Below are 17,167 nucleotides of genomic sequence, written 5' to 3'. Positions count from 1 at the left end.
TTTGCTCTCATCTGTCAAATACACTGAAGACGCTGGTGGGACTCAGTTATTTGTCAACATTATCTCTTACTTCACCTTTCCAAGGTATTTCTCTGCCTAAAGCCACACTGCGAGCTTTCTGTTCTCCCTGGTTTTGCTTCCGTCTCTCCTCTGAGTTCTGTCAGGGTGTAGTCACCCTGTTGTTCACGTCTCCTCCTGAATCATCAGTGCAGGTGTTCAGTGGTGAAAATTGATCACAAATAGAGCAAATTAAACTTTTGCCCCCTGAGATATGATTTTCCCAATTTTTCCAGATTAACATCCAGGCCAGAATGACATATTAATTACACAGATAGCCTTTCTAGTGCCTTAAATAACTCCTTTCTTCATCACATGGTTCTTCGAGTCTAATTCACTTTTATGACTTCAACGTGGAACAAGAGTTTTATACCATGATTAGCCGTTTTTATCACCAACAGGAAATCATAACCAGCATGCATCTCGTGGAGAAGACCTCGGTAAGTAGCAGTAGAGAACCCCAGCCTTGCCAAATTTAAACATTAGTCCCCATCACAAATTACATCCTACTCTATTTGCTTGAATAATTGGCTGAGGTAATCTACCACTCAGAGACTTCTTGTTGAGTTTCTATTGTTCAATGAACTTCATAATGAAAGTCCCCCCTAGTTTTTCTAACTGGATTGCTAATATAAGCTCTAGTCTTAATATATATTTTTTGAGACAAGTGTTTCTGAATGCTCTGTTATGCCAATTATTTATCCTGACCTTATTTTCTCACAAGAAACAAAGATATTTCCTATTACTAGAAAACCTGTAAAAATTTTATTCGTAAACTTACAAACTTAAAGATAATGTTATAATATACATTACAAATCATGTGTAAAATACCAAAATGTCAGGATGAACATACGTAAAGAGACCACCCCTTCCTTCCTGGTAGTCCCTTGCATGATGTTCGAGAAGATGCCCTTCCCAGGTTCACCCTCACGCTGGAGACTGTGCGAGATGCTTCTGGCTGAGTGCTTTAATCTCTGTGTTTCTTGTCCTTCCCTCTGGGCTGGCATCTCTCAACATGGGCCACTCACTCTGGATAACTCGGTCACCAAGACGCAGCTTCACTCTGTTTTCCATGGTTCTGCCAAATAGCCACATTAGACAGACTTACTTGGTTGAGCTTTATCTCACCATTGTCTCTTACAGACACGCGAGATTCTTTTAATTTTTGTTCTAATCTCATGCTTCTGTGCCTCTGTAATTTAGCACTTTCCTTCCTAAGCACCCTGTTTGAAAGCAGCTGACACAGTGCAGATGGGCCTGGCCCAGCGCAGCCCTCAGGGACCCACATGTGCTGGGTTTTGGTACAGCATCCCCAGCCTCCTGTGCATGGCTGATGTTGCGCTGGCGGCTCCCCACGAGGACTTTGGAGCATTGACTTCATTTAGTTTTGGTGGTCGAATGGTTAATCATCTTCCCACCTCCACTGCCTCCTAAAGTACCAACATCAACGATGGTAGAAACAGAGATTCTAAAATTTTAGGATGACTTTCAATTTTTTTAATGAATTGAGTATTCTAATTGCACCTGCCATTCTCAGCTCAGAACCAGATTGTTGCTTTGAATAAGGCACTGGTATTTTTAATCCCACCTAATTTTCCCAGAGAGAGAACATAATCTCTCAGAGCATTCTAAGTTTGAGATTAAAACCATGGAAACAGCTGGAAGAGGAAGAAAGAAAAAAGTTTCTCATGCTACTTCATGTGAATTTATTTCTTCCTTGTAGCCTTCCAAAATTCTGGTGATACTTCCTGATTTTTTTATTTCTCTTTGTGATATATGGTTCTACTGGTAAGAATTTGGTTATTTCGGCTCAGTACTGACTGAACAAAGACCTGCGGTCTGTCATACATCCATATGGCTAAAGGAGTTCATCTGAATTGTGGGCCTCTGTTTATGTTAGAATTGTGATGGGCCATATTTTTAAATCTCAAGCAACTTTTATTTTTCTCCAAATTTTATTCTTAATGAATACTGATCAAGTGTCCTAACCATAGCTTATTTTTCTCTCTTTTTAATTTTAGGGCATAGATCTTCATTTTATTCTAGGTGATAAATTTTCTTTTTTTTTTCTTTTTTCTTTTTTTTTTTTTTTTTTAAGACAGAGTCTCACTCTGTCCCCCAGGCCGGAGTGCAGTGGTGTAATCTCGGCTCACTGCAACCTCCGCCTCCAAGTTTCAAGTGATTCTCCTGCCTCAGCCTCCCGAGTAGCTGGGACTACAGGTGCGCACACCACACACAGCTAATTTTTGTATTTTTAGTAGAGATGGGGTTTCACCATGTTGGCCAGGATGGTCTAGATCTCTTGACTTCATGATCTGCCCGCTTCGGCCTCCCAAAGTGCTGGGATTACAGGCGTGAGCCACCATGCCTGGCATTTCAAACATTCTTATTTCTTAATGGAAATGTGGACCAACTGAGTGTCAGAATCAGAATCATCCCCAGGATGCGGAACAGCCCCATGAGCCCTGCCCCCAGCTGGATGTTTGGGAAGGGCGGGAGCCTGGGGAGGAACTAGACTCTATGTGGCAGAGTCGTTATTGAGGAATATGGGTTTGTTGCCTCCTCCCGCCTTAACAGGATGTGGCAGCCCCAGCTTTGAGGCTCTCTGCCACTAAATGCTGTTGTTTTCATGGCACAGTGACTCCCACCGCTGGGTCAGCTCATTTCTGGGGATGAAGCCAGTGAGATTTTCTGTCCCAAAGACCTCAGACCTCAGATGCCCTCTCTTGGCTGCCTCTGACCGTCTCTGCTTCTGGAAAAGCAGGCAGCTTAGACAACTGGGGACAATGAGGGGTGCCTTTGTCCAGGTGATTCTACCCAGTCTGCTCTGCACTGACTCCCTGTTCCTGGCAGAACCTCCCAGCCAGGCGCTGCCGTGCTGAGGTCATTATCTCGTGGCTACTATAAGCTGCCTGCCTGCAGGAGATTTGTTTATTCCTCCCTTCCTTGCTTGTAATTGAAGATGAGTGTTTAAAATTAAAAGCCACTCCCCTGTCTCTTTCTGTTGAAAGGAGCCTCCACCGATGCTGGGGGGAGGAGAGGACAGCACAGCCAGAGGCAACAGGCCAGTGGCCTCCACCCCGGTGCCCGGATCCCCCTGGTAAGACACCCCAAAGCCTGAGAGCCACTAGCAATGGCGTTGTCTGGTCCTGGCATTTGCCTGATGTCACCAAAGAGACACTGCATGTCTCTCAGGCATCCTGTGTCTTAAAAACAATGAACTTGCAACTCCCGGCAGGTGTAATTCTGCACTGTGGTCACATTCTGCAGAAAGAAAAAAACAGCATTTAAGCGATGAGCTATCCTGCTCTGATCTGTCTGTGAATATATATTAAAATGATAATGCTGTTGCATGTCTATCAGCGAAAGGCAGTGGCTGAAGAAAGTGTAGCATGCCTTATGCTTCAAAAGATCTGTTTTCCCTCCACTCCAAGAAGAATCGTAACTGAATGGCAGTTAATTAAAGACGTGCCTGTTCTCTCTGTCGCCCTGCGTGGCTGCTTGCTCTCGGAATATGCCACACTCCAGACACCCTCCACGAGGGAGCTACAGTTTTTGGTTTTTAAAAATGCCCTTTTATAATGGAGTCATTTGGAAGCAGAATAAAAGGTTATTACAGTAAAAATTAAGTTTCAAGCCTGAAGATGAGAGTGCAGTACACAGCTGGGAGGCACAGCTAATTTAAAGAACAGAAATAACAACCACTTGTGTCAGCTCAATGTGCCAGCCAGGTACAGAAGGCAGCCGGCTAAGGAGCGCAGGGCCCCCACCAGCCTTGCATAGCGAGTGAGCACATCCCTGCTGACTGGGCCTGCTGTGCCATGCCCTGGTCCTCTGATGATTCGGGTGAACTTGGCTCCAATCTGGACAGACTGGCACCCCTGGCTTCTATGCCATGGTCAGTGTCGGTGGCAGGCTCCTGGTGCCTCCAGCCTTCCATTTGTAGCTAAAGCTCCTCTGTACCCTGGGAGTGCCTCGGGGTGAGACCTCTTTGTACTAATATTATGCTGTTTTCCAGCCACCCATTCTCCAACCCTTACAATTTAGCTCGATTCTGATGCTAACTACTGGGAGTTAGAGCCAAACCCCACAGGCTGGGGTCAGTCCCTCTGGCTGCCCTGCTTTAGACATTGGCTGCAAATGGGGCCCCCCAGCTGCCTGCACATCTGCCCAGCTGACCACAGATCTGGGGTTCCCATGACCTCCTCTCCACTTCAGTGGTGATTTGCTAGGACCACTCACAGAACTCAGGAAGCGCTTTACTTAGGATTACAGTTGTTTTATCAAGGATACAACTCAGGAACAGCCAGTGGAAGCAATGCTCAGGGTAAGGTGTGGACCTGACTGAGCTTCTGGGCCTCGCCGGCGCCACCCTCCCAGTGCTGCAGCGTTCACCAGCCTGGAAGCACTCTGAACCTCAATGTTTTAGAATTTTAATGGAGATGTAACTACATAGGCATGACTGATGAAATCATCGGCCAAGTGAAAGGACTCAGAGGGTTGGGCAGCGCTGAAAGTGACGGCCCTCCAGTCACGTGGTTGGTGTTTCTGGAGACCAGCACCCTCCCTGAAGCTACTCAGGGGTCCTGAAGTCACATGGTTGGTGTCTCTGGAGACCAGCACCCTCCCTGAAGCTACTCAGGGGTCCTGAAGTCATTTCATTTGCGCAGCCTCAGGCACAGGTGTTATTCCTACCAGGTCAGGGACTTGGTAGGAATAACAAGATGCTTTCTTCGCTCAGGAAATTCTAAGAGTTTGGGAAGCTCTGTGTCAGGAATCTGGAACAAAGACCGTATACATCCCTCTGCTGCTTAACGACAGGGGTATATTCTGGAAAGGCATCCTTAGGCAGTGGCATCCGACATCCTTTTATGCACATCACAGGGTGTGCTCACACAGGCCTGGTGGCACAGCCTCCTGCACGCCTGGGCTGCATGGTGTAGACCGTGGCTCCCAGGCTGCAGACCACACAGCGCTGACTGCACAGAGGCAGTTGTGACACAGTGGTAGGGATGTGTGTGTCTAAACACATCCAAATGTGAGAAGGTAGAGTAAAATTTGATATTATAATCTGACGGGACCACCATGGTATGTGTGGTCAGTCCATGGTTGAGAGAAATGTCACTCTGCGGCACATGACTGCATATACATTTTACGATGCCACGAACTGGTTGAGAGCTTCTACAGGCAAACTCTCCAGTGTCTCCAAGGCAGGCACACTGCCGCATATCACGCTGCAGGATGGGGAAACGTTCCCCAAGACCCTGTGGAATCCTCACACAGCTTCCGCCAAGCTCCCCTGGGGCGTTGCAGGGATCCAGAAGACTTGACCTTGAGCCCTAGAACCTTCTCACTGCGAAAGCTGCGGCTTTCTTCCCCAGCGATATTGTGTTACCATGAGCAAGGCTTCGTGCGATCCAGCAAATGAAAACGGTTCCCTGGCTGCTGCACTCCCCTCCCTCGGCGTGGGTCTTTGCCGATGAATCCTGGGTAGGTGAGGGAGTCTGTTGGTTGCTGCATGATCTCACTGGGAAGTGGATTATCCCTGCGGCAGGAGATGTTCGGGCACAGAAGCAGAACAAGGCAGCTTGGCCCACGTGGGAGGTAGCTTGGTCCACGTGGCAGACCCCATGCAGGACGAGGACTTAGCAGGTCCTTGTGGGTTTCTGAGAGTGGAGCAGCTAAGCCAGGGGTACTTGCAGATGAGGGAATGAATGGCGGGTGCTGGGCATGGGAGGTAAGGGTGGCTGTGGTCAGAGGGAGTGGCGGGGTGTAGGGCCAGGGGCTTCAGGTGGTCAGAGGGAGTGGCGGGGTGTAGGGCCACGGGCTTCAGGTGAGGTGGGTGAGGGCTTGGGCCTGGGAGCACAGAGGAAGGATGGCCAAGGTCCCACAGGACCTACAGGCCTTCCTGGTCTGCACAGTGACTGGTGCCACTAAGGCAGAGGTGCAGTGTGGATTCCTGGCCATGTCGTCTTTAACTGGCAAGCATGAGGATGAGAGGGAATTCTCCAGGGAGCCCCAGGTGGGCGCCTCCTGTGTTACGAGACGAACTAATACCTTTGAGTGGACGGAGAAGCTTCACGCTGGGAGCACACTGCTTGAATCAGATCTAGGCTTGCCTGCTGGGACCTGTGCAGTACCATAGAGGGAGGGAGAGGTGGCTGCTGCTTCACTGCGTTTCTCGTTTCATGTTTAGTCTAATCTCAGCCCCACCTGAATGCAGAGAGAGCCTAGGCTTGTTTGAGCAGCTGTTGGAATCAGGATGTGAGTATTGGCAGACCGCCACCAGACCTCAGAGGGTGGGTTTGCACTCACCCTTAAAGGTGGAGGCACCTTCGACATTGCAGAGTGAAGGGGCCTCTCCAGATCTCAGCTTCTCCTGTGGCCGCGTGCTCTGTCAAGGAGGGCTTTGTGTGCCTCGTGATGTGACATCCTCACTAATGGCAGCATGATGCACGCAGGCCTGGGAACAGCACACTCTCCTCACACTGCAGCCTGCGTCTAGGAAAAGCTCTCTGCCATGGGGTGGGGTTGGGGGGTGGCTCTATGCCTATTTCACCTGATTAGCTGAATCATCTGCTTCCGTCTCGCTTATAGAGATTTGCTAGTAGTCAGCCTTTCCCCAGAGTCAGCCAGGGTCTCATGGAGACACACTGGGAGCTCCAGGGACAGGAGTGGGGCCCTTTCATCTGTCTCATTTTCCCTCACCCATTTGAAACAACCCATGCTTAGAAAGGGTGTCTTTGCCCAGACAGAGAATGTCTCAGAGACTGTGGCCGCCGTGAACTTTCTAAGAAGACCACAGGGGGTCTCAGCAGGAGCTTGGCAGAGCCCCCAGGACTAAGGAGGCATTGGGGAGGGGCCTCAACAACAGCTTCTGCCAGAGGCACAACAGCCCATCCCTGCCCAAATAGACGACCTCCTTGGTCTTCATCTCAGCCCTGGAATACTTAGACGGAGAGGTCAAGCCCACGGTGCTCGGTAAGTCCCTGGCACATGGCTGTCAGGGCACAGTGTGGTTTGCCTGTTTGCCCTGAGCTGACAGAAAGGAGAAAGGAGCCCTCTCCCCAGGGCACACTGCCCCTTTTCCTGCCGAGGCCCCCAACCGTGAGTGAGAACCCACCTGCCCCGCAGAAGGTCATCGTGGCCAAGTGTAAAGCAGGGAAAGGTCTTGTGCTCGGGGTTCGGGGCTGCAGTGGAAGTGGGTGGGAAGGATGGTGGGCAGGGGTCGAGTCTTAGAAGGCCAGTTCAGGGTCACCTGGGGGACCCCACGGGCACTGCCAGCTGAACTGGTGGCGGGGTGAGCAGGCATGGCCGCAGAGGAAGCTCTGATGGCTCCGCTGACTCTCCTCCCTCTCGCGGCCAAGCCCAGAGCTCGCTCCCCATGTCTCAGGGAATCTCCTTCTGTCTGTCCCATGACGGTGCATCCTCTCTGCGATGGTCCGCTTGGCACTCAGAGACCAGGCCGCCCTCAGCCAGGCAGGGGTGGTGGTCCGGGCTGTCAGCTCAGGTCAGATCCCAGAATTAGATCCTCTGTCTACGTAAGTGTAGACCTCAACCTTCTCCTAAGGAAACTTGGCTTCTAGAAGTTTCCACATAGGTGGGCCGGCCAAGCAGGCTGGGCTAAAGCAGGCTCAGAAAGAATTCCTCTTGCATATCACAGAGCCATCTGGGGGCAGCTGGAATTGGGATGATAAGGATGTAAGGAGTTCTGGAATCCACTCAACACATGTGCAACAAAAATCAAATTAGTCTTACTCGTGGTTAACTTTTTCATGTAGTTATTAAATACATTTTGAATAAAACTACGGCTAAGAAATGGAGTGTTTGAGAAGACAGCAGACTGAATAAGACCCTCCATCTCCTGTGTACAGTTATAGGGAAGAAACTCACTTTCAAAGGTGAAACTCCTCCAGCATTTTTCTGATATGCACCTGCTCTTGGGAAAGCGTCTTAGAAAGCAATGAGGTGGTAGAAACTGGTTTAAAAGTGATGAGAGCAGAAGGGTGATGTTTCTCCCATTCCCTGCAGGAGCTGGTACTCCCTGCTAGAGCTCAGTGAATCCATACGGAATGCCGGCAGCGGACGGGCGGCATCCTTAGTTATTCTTAACTATGTGGGAATTTCTCTGCTGTTGTCGCTGCCGAGAGGTGGCCAGACGCAGGGCCTCCTTGAAAGCATTAATGTAATACTAAGCACTTGAGAAATGCAAAATTCACACCCTGACAGGGAATAAAAATGAAGAAAGAGCCATCTACTCACTCTTGTCTAATGGCCTGGGCCAGTGTAACCATTGAAAATGGTGTCGAAGTTCAGAGTAACTTCTGTAGCCAACTCTGCTATCTGAAAACCTATTCCACATTCTACTGCTGAGTACTTTCAAGGATACCGTGTCCCAGGCATGGTATTTTAAGGAGGTTAAAGGAAATGAAGACAGTGCGTTTACTTTCATGCCAGGTGAAATCCGGTCCTCCTCTAGAGAAGACAGAGCTTGTGTCATGGCAACAGTTGCAATGAAACTTGAATTACTTTTTTTTTAAATCTTCTTTAAACTTTTAGGCATGTTAACAGTAGAATAGCATTATTATTATTTTAGTCTCCTTCGGAATTTCTGTATCGTCTTTTTTTTTTGTAATTTGGCTTTAGACACAAATAGTAATTTTGAGGGAATTAAACCACTCCCACTTATTCACAATAAAAATGTTTTTGGAGAGTTGATGACATGGGAAAATGTCAACAGTAATTGCTCGACAAAGTGTAAAATCCATAGCTTTTGGATTAAATGACAATAAATGTCAAAAACAATGATTAATCAACATCTTAAAATCATTTAAAATACTATAGATTTACGAGTAGTTAGCTATTTTTGTGAAATTAAAAAATATATATTAAATATTGGTTTTAACATATTATTTTCTAAACAAATTCAGATTGCTACAGTGCAGGTTTTATGTCATGGTCTGTTAATAGCACAGATCAAAGTTCTTTTTAAGATGGCTTGGAAAGATACGAAAGTGCACTTTGGGAAGTTGACAATGTCAGAAGGCGCCATTTTCTGGCAAAGCTGATTCACGTTTTATCCTAAGAGGCAAAAGTCGTTAAAAGGTAAGAAGTGTGGGGCGGATTATCAAAATGAGTACGGTGCATTCCTCTGATGTTAGTAGGTGTGCCTAGCCCAGAAGCCAGGGGCTGACTGCATTTCTGCCTAAAGAGGTAAGAGCTATGAGCAGACACCAGCCTAGAGATGTGCTTTGTGAGCTGTTGTAGGTGTTGTAGCAGGATGAGCTGCAGACAACACACCGAGTTAAAAAAGGAAGGGGTTTATTCGGCCAGGGGCATCGGCAAGACGCCTGTCTCAAGAGCTGAGCTCCCCAAGTGAGCAATTCCTGTCCCTTTTAAGGGCTCACAACTCTAAGGGGGTGCACGTGAGAGGGTCGTGATCGATTGAGCAAGCAGGGGGTATGTGACTGGGGGGCTGCATGCACCAGTAATTGGATCAGAACAAAACAGGACAGGGATTTTCACAGTGCTTTTCTATACAATGTCTGGAATCTATAGATAACATAACCGATTAGGTCAGGGGTCGATCTTCAACTGCCAGGTCCAGGGTGTGGCGCCGGGCTGTCTGCTTGTGGATTTCATTTCTGCCTTTTAGTTTTTACTTTTTCTTTCTTTGGAGGCAGAAATTGGGCATAAGACAGTATGAAGGGTGGTCTCCTCCCTTAGTGTAAGCATTTTTCAAAGGGCTGTTTTGTATTTTCAAATCCCAGGGACATGCTTTGGCTCTCCTGATTTTATGCTAATGACTTGTCCTTAGTTGTGACTTCATTTTCTATTTCAGTACCCGTGGGTAACATCTTTTTGTATTAGTTCATAATTATTTATTGGGCGTGACATTTAAAAAAATGTTTCTCTGGATTTTCTAAATACAGGTATTGAGCATGTTTGACTTTTGAAAAACTAGTATCAAAATCATGTTCTGAGATGAAGTTGGTAGAACTTTTCTAAAAAGAAAGGAAAAGTTTCCCAAGACATGATACATGTGGATGATGTTCAAGAAGAAAAAGGTGATTAGAAATGATGGTGATTACGAGAGATGCGGGGCTCGGTCACATCAGCCTGTGTCACTTTCTCCCGTGCACCGTCCTCTGACTTGCAGTTGCACTCGCTAAGCTGAGGGAGGACGCATCGGTCTTCTTTGAGTAAGTAGTGCTGAAGAGAAACCAAATGTCACTTCGGCCCTTTTGCATAATTGAGTCTTTTATTATGTCAGAGAAGGGACAGGAGGAGTCACTTGTCAGGGAGGGGACTCTAATGTTGAATTAAATGTCAGTGTGGTTTAGTGAGGGAGGAGGAGTTGGCGGGGAAGCTGCCATTTAGCTCGCATTTGAGAGTTCTGGTGGGAGCAGCCCAGGGAGTGGGGGGTGGGCCGTGGGCTGTGCCACCTCCAGTTCCCTCTGAGCTGATTTTCTCTGGTCCTGAGGCCACCTTGCTTTCGTTCCCAGGCAGCCACCAGCTCCCGGACGTGCTGTCAGCCCCCTGCCTGCATGGGGCCGGTGGCAGTTCTATCCATCTTCCACTGGCGACTGGCGGGGAGATCAGAAATCAGATGAGTCCCTGGGTTTGAGGAAAGCTGGGACACTGCTGGGTGCAAGAGCAGGGTGACATCCCGTTTGAACTCCATAAAGACAGGCTCTCCCGGCAGCCCCCAGCCCGGGTGGAGCCTGGCTGAACCTGTGTGCAGAAACCTGTGTTCTCAGAGGCTGCGTGGGGCAGATGCTGCCCTCCCGGCAAGCCTCCGGGGACTTGTGTCTGTGCTGCAAGGCTGGGCAGAGCTGGCAGGGCCCCGAGTGGACTCGGCTTGACATGACCATGGAGTGGTCTTTCCCTGCGGCTCATTATTTAACAATGACAACATCCATTTGTGTGAAATAACTAAAGATGGATTGGTAAAATCTTTTAAGAGTTATGCCAAGAAGTTAACAGTGATGCCTTTAGGAGCACAGACACCTGAGCCCAGGGCAAGGGGAATTTTGTTTTCAGCCAAGAAGCCTCCGTTGTTGGTGCCGTGCAGGGACGTCCCCACCCAGCTTGTCCACCGTCTCACTTCCAGTCTCTCCCTGGCACTCTTTCCTCGTGTCTTTTTACCTCAAAGGAGGAAGTAGGGGAGCCCGTGCTCTTGGGAGGCCAAGGTTGTGTCCCCAGGCTCCTGGACTCTCACTGTGCAGCAGCCGCCAGCGCCTGGAGCACCTTCTGTCTAGAACGTCACTAGCCCTATCGATTTATGAGAAAGGACAGCAAGACAGCCCACGGCCCGAAGCGGAGAGGCCACACAGTCACGCGGCAGGTGCCTGGCCCAGGCTGCCCCTTCAGTTCCAGCACAGCACGCCTGTTGCACGCTCGTGTCCTTGTCTTGCATATCTGCACCTTCTTCTCAAAGTGAGGGTTGGTGGTGGTGGCAACCATGGCCAGACACGGCTGGGCTGGAGAACCTACTCAAGAGGGAAGGAAGGTGGGAGGGAGGTCTCCCTGCGCTCCTCCTGGAGTCCTTATAAGCCCTAGTCCCTCACCCAGCTGCCAGGTGGATGGGCCTGGGCCACTCAGTCCTGCCTAGGTTGGGCCCTTCCCAGATACAAAACCCCAGAAAAGGTGGGGAGGACCAGGAGAGGGAGAGAAGACGGCAAAGGGCATTGGGTGCGGCCCTTTCATTCTGAGAGCTCAGCCCTGGTGGCCCGGCCCCAGGGAGTGTGTGGCTTTGTCCATCCCCAGGACACTCCTGGAACAGGGCATTCAGGGGTGAAAGATGGATGGAGACAGGGATCCAGGGAGAGCCTTTGTGTAGTGGGGGACTGGGAGGGGAGCATTCCCTCCCCACCAGCCAGCTGATTTTGAAGCTTGGGGTCCTGCTATTTGCAGGATGAGTGTGGGAGTCCTTTCATACAACAAAGCAACAACCCCAGTGTTCATTCAATGAAACCCAGACCTTCCTATATTGCGGCTGCTTGGTGTGGATGTACTGTACCAGACTTAAATAATGCTGATACACTAACTATATCCTCTGGGATATGGGGACAGTTAGAAGAGGGAATATGGCAGGTATCCAGAAATTATACAGTGTGATTAAAGAAGGGGAACACATGCATATTACTTAGAATGGGCATAAAATGGTACATAAAATTAATTCTGCGTGTTACAGCTGGCCCCGTCCAGTGGAAGCCAACCGTAACGAGTGGATGGGTGGATTTCTCTGGGGAAACTGCATTTATTTACCAGCTACTCACTCTGGTTCAACTCCATACCCGCTCTGGTTCAACTCCATGCATTTCCCCAGGGCTCAGGAGCTGGGCTCTTTGTGGCCTGGATATAAATGGGTGGCGTGTTAGTTGCCGTCACTCGGCCTCCTCCTGGGTGTAATCTCTTACCAAGTCCTAATTAGCTCCACTCTTTACTGGGAATTGGAAGCTGTTTCCCCACACTTTGGGGCATTCCAGGGTGCTGGCTGCTCCCAGCATCGGAATGCACCTTGGGTGTCTCTGCATCTGAGAACCGGGGACCTAGAGTCAGTGCATCCTGAGGCACTGCACTTACAACAAATGCTGGCCTAGGATCTGGGGAAAATTTGGCTGAATATAAATCCCCAAATGTAAAGCCTCTTTCTTAAGTTAATAGCAAAGCTTGGAGGCCAGCTGGGAAAATCCCTCAGAAAGTCAATGAGAAAATGATGAGACCCAGTGGATAGGGCCGCCTGGAGCATTCCACGAGGACTCTGGAACACAGGTTTCTAGGGTCTCAGTGCATTTGATTCTCTAGGGAATGAGCACGCGGGGCTTAGGGTGAGCAGCCCAGCAGAGGAGCAAGGGAACCCAGCTTCCTCATGCTGCCCTGACCTTTGGTGAAGGTGCTTTGGTTTTCTGTGGAAAGTAGGACATCCGGGGAAATTCAGGTGGGTCCTGCTGCCCTGGCTGGAGATGAGTCTAAGCCAGGCAGCTCTGCCCTTTCCTCCCTCTGCTAGAAGAGGCCATGCACCCAGCGTCCTCACACACCACTCAGCCTAGTGTCTGGGGAGGCTTCTGTGGGACTCTCAACTCTGCTGCTCCTCTTCCTGGACCCACTAATACTGATGCCTGCCCAGGACCCCTTAATGAATTCACCTGCCCAGACTCACTGATATGGTTTGGCTCTGTGTCCCCTCCCAAATCTTACCTCGAATTGTAATCCCCATAATCCCCATGTGTCAAGGGCAGGAGCAGGTGGAGGTAATTGAGTCATGGGGGCCATTTCCCCCATGCTGTTCTCCTGATAGCGAGTGAGTTCTCATGAGATCTGATGGTTCTATAAGCGTCTGACATTTCCTATGCTGGCACTCATTCTCTCTTCTGCCACCCTGTGAAGAGGTGCCTTCTGCCATGATTGTAAGTTTCCTGAGGCCTCCCCAGCCATGTGGAACTGTAAGTCAATTAAACCTCTCTTCATTATAAATTACCCAGTCTGAGGTATTTCCTTATAGCTATGTGAGAATGAACTAATACAGTAAATTCTTACCAGGAGTGGGGTGCTGCTATAAGGATACCTGAAAATGTGGAAGCAACTTTGGAAATGGGTAGCAGAAGAGGTTGGAACAGTTTGGAGGGCTCAGAAAAAGATAGCAAAATGTGGAAAAGTTTGAAACTTCCTAGAGACTTGGAGGGCTCAGAAGACAGGAAGATGTGGGAAAGTTTGGAACTTCCTAGAGACTTGTTGAATGGCTTTGACCAAAACATAGACAGTGATATAGACAATGAAGTCCAGGCTGAGGTGGTCTCAGATGGAGATGAGGAACTTGCTGGGAACTGGAGTAGAGGCCACTTTTGCTATGCTTTAGCAGAGACTGGCAGCTTTTTGCCCTTGCCGTAGAGATCTGTGGAACTTTGAACTTGAGAGAGATGATTTAGGGTGTCTGGTGGAAGAAATTTCTAAGTGGCAAAGGATTCAAGAGGAGGAAGAGCATAACAGTTTGGAAAATTTGTAGCTTGACCACGCGATAGAAAAGAAAAACCCATTTTCTGGGGAAAAATTCAAGCCAGCTGCAGAAATTTGCATAAATAACAAGGAACCAAATGTTAATCACCAAGACAATGGGAAGAAGGTCTCCAGAGTATGTCAGAGAGCTTCATGGTAACTCCTGCCATTACAGGCCTGGAGGGCTAGGAGGGTCACCCTGCTCTGTGCAGCCTTGAAACAAGGTGCCCTGCATCCTAGCTGCTTCAGCATCAGCCATGGCTAAAAGGGGCAAAAGTACATCTCAGGCCATTGCTTCTGAAGGTGCAAGCCCCAAGCCTTGGTGGCTTTCACGTGTTGAGCCTCTGGGTACACAGAAGTCAAGAATTGAGGTTTGGGAACCTCCACCTAGATTTTAGAGGAAGTATGGAAATGCCTGGATGTCCAGGCAGAAATTTGCTGCAGGTGCAGAGCCCTCATGGAAAACCTCTGTTAGGGCAGTGAAGAAGGGAAATGTGGGGTCAGAGCCCCCACACAGAGTCTCTACTGGGGCACTGCCTAGTGGAGCTGTGAGAAGAAGGCCATTGTCCTCCAGAACCCAGAATGGTAGATTCACCTACAGCTTGCACCATGCACCTGGAAAAGCCACCATCACTCAACAACAGCCCGTGAAAGCAACCAGGAAGGGGACTGTACCCTGCAAAGCCACAGGGGAAGACCTACCCAAGGCTGAGGGAGCACGCCTCTTGCATCAGCATGACCTGGATGTGAGGTGTGGAGTCAAATGAGATCATTTTGGAAATTTAAGGCTTAATGACTGCCGTATTGGATTTTGGACTTGCATGGGGCCTATAGCCTCTTTGTTTTGGCCAATTTCTCCCATTTAGTATGGGAGCATTTATCCAATGCCTGTACGCCCATTTGTGTCTTGGAAGTAACTAACTTGCTTTTGATTTTACAGTCTCATAGGTGGAAGGGACATGCTTTGTCTCAGATGAGACTTTAGAGTTGGACTTTTCGGTTAATGCTGGAATGAATTAAGACTTTGGGGGACCGTTGGAAAGGCATGATTGGTTTTGAAATGTGAAAGGAACATGAGATTTGGGAGAGACCAGTGGTGGAATGATATGGTTTGGCTTTGTGTCCCCACCCAAATCTCACCTCATGGTAATCCCCGTGTGTCAAGGGTGGGACCAGGTGGAGGTAATTGAATCACGGAAGTGGTTTCCCCCATGATGTTCTTGTGATAGCGAGTGAGTTCTCATGAGATCTGATGGTTTTATAAGAGTCTGGCACTTCCCCTGCTGGCACTCATTCTCTCTCCTGCTGCCCTGTGAAGAGGTGCCTTCTGCCATGATTGTAAGTTTCCTGAGGCCTCCCCAGTCATGAGGAACTGTGAGTCAATTAAACCTCTTTTCTTTATAAATTACCCAGTCTCAGGTATCTCCTTACAGCAATGTGAGAATGGACTCATACAGCCACTGACCTGCCCTCAGCCTAGCGCAGGATGACAGGAGATCCACGTGTGCTATCGGGGCCCAAAGTTGAAGTCCTGTTTCTCTTAAACTCTGCAGTGGGCAGAACAGAGCTCTTGCTGGTCCCTGCCAGGAAATGGGTCATCCTCTCACCTCTTTCAGCTTCTTCTTCCCCCAGTCCTCTGGCCCTCAACTGGCTCAGGGCTCACCCCTGGGTGTTCAGGAAAGCTGGCGAGTTACCAAGTTAGGAAAGCTCCCCAAGCCAGTGGGAGGGTTGGGATTGGATGGGGCCACTCAGCCAGTCTGAGCCTGTGTCCCGAGGCCTCTGGCTTCCGGATAATTCTCCCGTGGCCCTGTTGCTTGTGGAATGCAGTATGAATGCCTGACACTGTGTGCACCTAGCAGCTCTTAGTGAACTGGAGATGCCTCAGTGAGCATCTGGCCCCTGGCTGAGTATCCCCACACTTCAGTGACTCTAGAGGAGCACACAGGTCCCCCCACCTCTGGGTGAGGCCGTTGGAGGCTGGGGGCCAGATGGCCTCCTGCCAGAAACATGGTGCTCAACAGGTCCATCTGCTGTACCCAGGTCACAGGAAGTTGTTCTGTGCTCTCCAGGTGAGGTCAGGCTCCTGGTGAGACCTTCATGGGTTTACACAACAGGTTTTAAGTCTTAAGTTGCTAGAGAGGAACACAGAGAGCCAAGGACGCTTCTAGGATTTGCCACTCAGACCAGTTGCAGCAAAACATCATGAAAAAACATCCCAAGCAATACTGTTAGAAATGGGCCCTCTTGCTGCTGGGAGCTTCAGGCTTGGGGCTGCCTTTCCAGCCACTGTCCAGTCATGGAAGCTTCTGAAGCCCTTGAGGGGCCGGATCTGGGCTTCCTCTGGTCCTGACATGCTGGGCATGAGACATACAGCATGAGGAGGCGGGCTCAGGGTTTCTTCACTCCCTGCACCCCCGCTGGCATCAGGGTCTCATCGATGAGTCTAGCTGCATTCCTTGCAAGAGGGGTGCCTGGAGACAGAGCCCAATGTCGCAGTAGTAAAACTGTCCACGTCCTACGTGTTGCCAAAGAGCCCAGGCCTCGTGGGGAGCTAATAATAGGCTCTGCCTGTGGCCCACTCACTCACAGCTCCACCCGGGAAGCAGGTCATCACCAGGTCTGCGTCTGGAGGAAAGGAGTCAGTCTCTACCCTGGGCTTATGTTCCCTATTGGCCCATGCTGTCTGCAGAGTTCATATAGTAGCTGAATTGTGCATAATTTACAGCACAGTGTGGTTACCTTCAGCTTTAGACTCAATAAAAACTTCCTATGCTAGCCGGGTTCTGCACCATAAATGCATACCCACAGCCTCCCTGCAGGCCCCAGAGGTCAGGTATCCCTGGCCTGGGCTTGCTGGGGACAATGGTCTGCCTGATCTGAGAGCAGGAAGGGATCCAGCTACCTGGGTGTGGAGTCTGCTGTAGTTGGCCAGCCTCATTTTCCAGCCTCCAGCATGGGCCTGGGCAGCACCCCACGGGCCCATGAGCCCGCTCCCCTGAGGGCAGGACCTGGCATGGGAGTGTGATACACTCTATCTTGGTCCATTTCCCTAGTTGGGTGGACTGTCCAGATAAAGCAAATTCCCATTCCACCCCCCATCTGAAGGGTTGAG

The 17,167-nt window shown here is 49.6% G+C and overlaps 1 protein-coding gene across 2 annotated transcripts in view; it reads left to right on the top strand.

The window, feature by feature from the left end:
* The window catches only part of TCERG1L (transcription elongation regulator 1 like), a 219,331-nt gene that overhangs the window by 145,443 nt on the left and 56,721 nt on the right, over positions 1-17,167 (top strand). Inside the window, exons 6-7 of one of the 2 annotated variants that reach the window (XM_047424966.1) lie at positions 459-497; positions 3,069-3,157. In XM_047424966.1, the coding sequence (XP_047280922.1) occupies positions 459-497; positions 3,069-3,157 (128 nt within the window). The remainder of the gene's footprint in view (positions 1-458; positions 498-3,068; positions 3,158-17,167) is intronic. The other variant, NM_174937.4, reaches the window with a different exon arrangement.

Source organism: Homo sapiens, chromosome 10 (assembly GCF_000001405.40).
Source record: "Homo sapiens chromosome 10, GRCh38.p14 Primary Assembly".
In the NCBI taxonomy this organism is placed as follows: Eukaryota; Metazoa; Chordata; class Mammalia; order Primates; family Hominidae; genus Homo; species Homo sapiens.
Note: the sequence above shows the minus strand (reverse complement) of the source record. Positions and strands in the feature narration are given on the sequence as shown.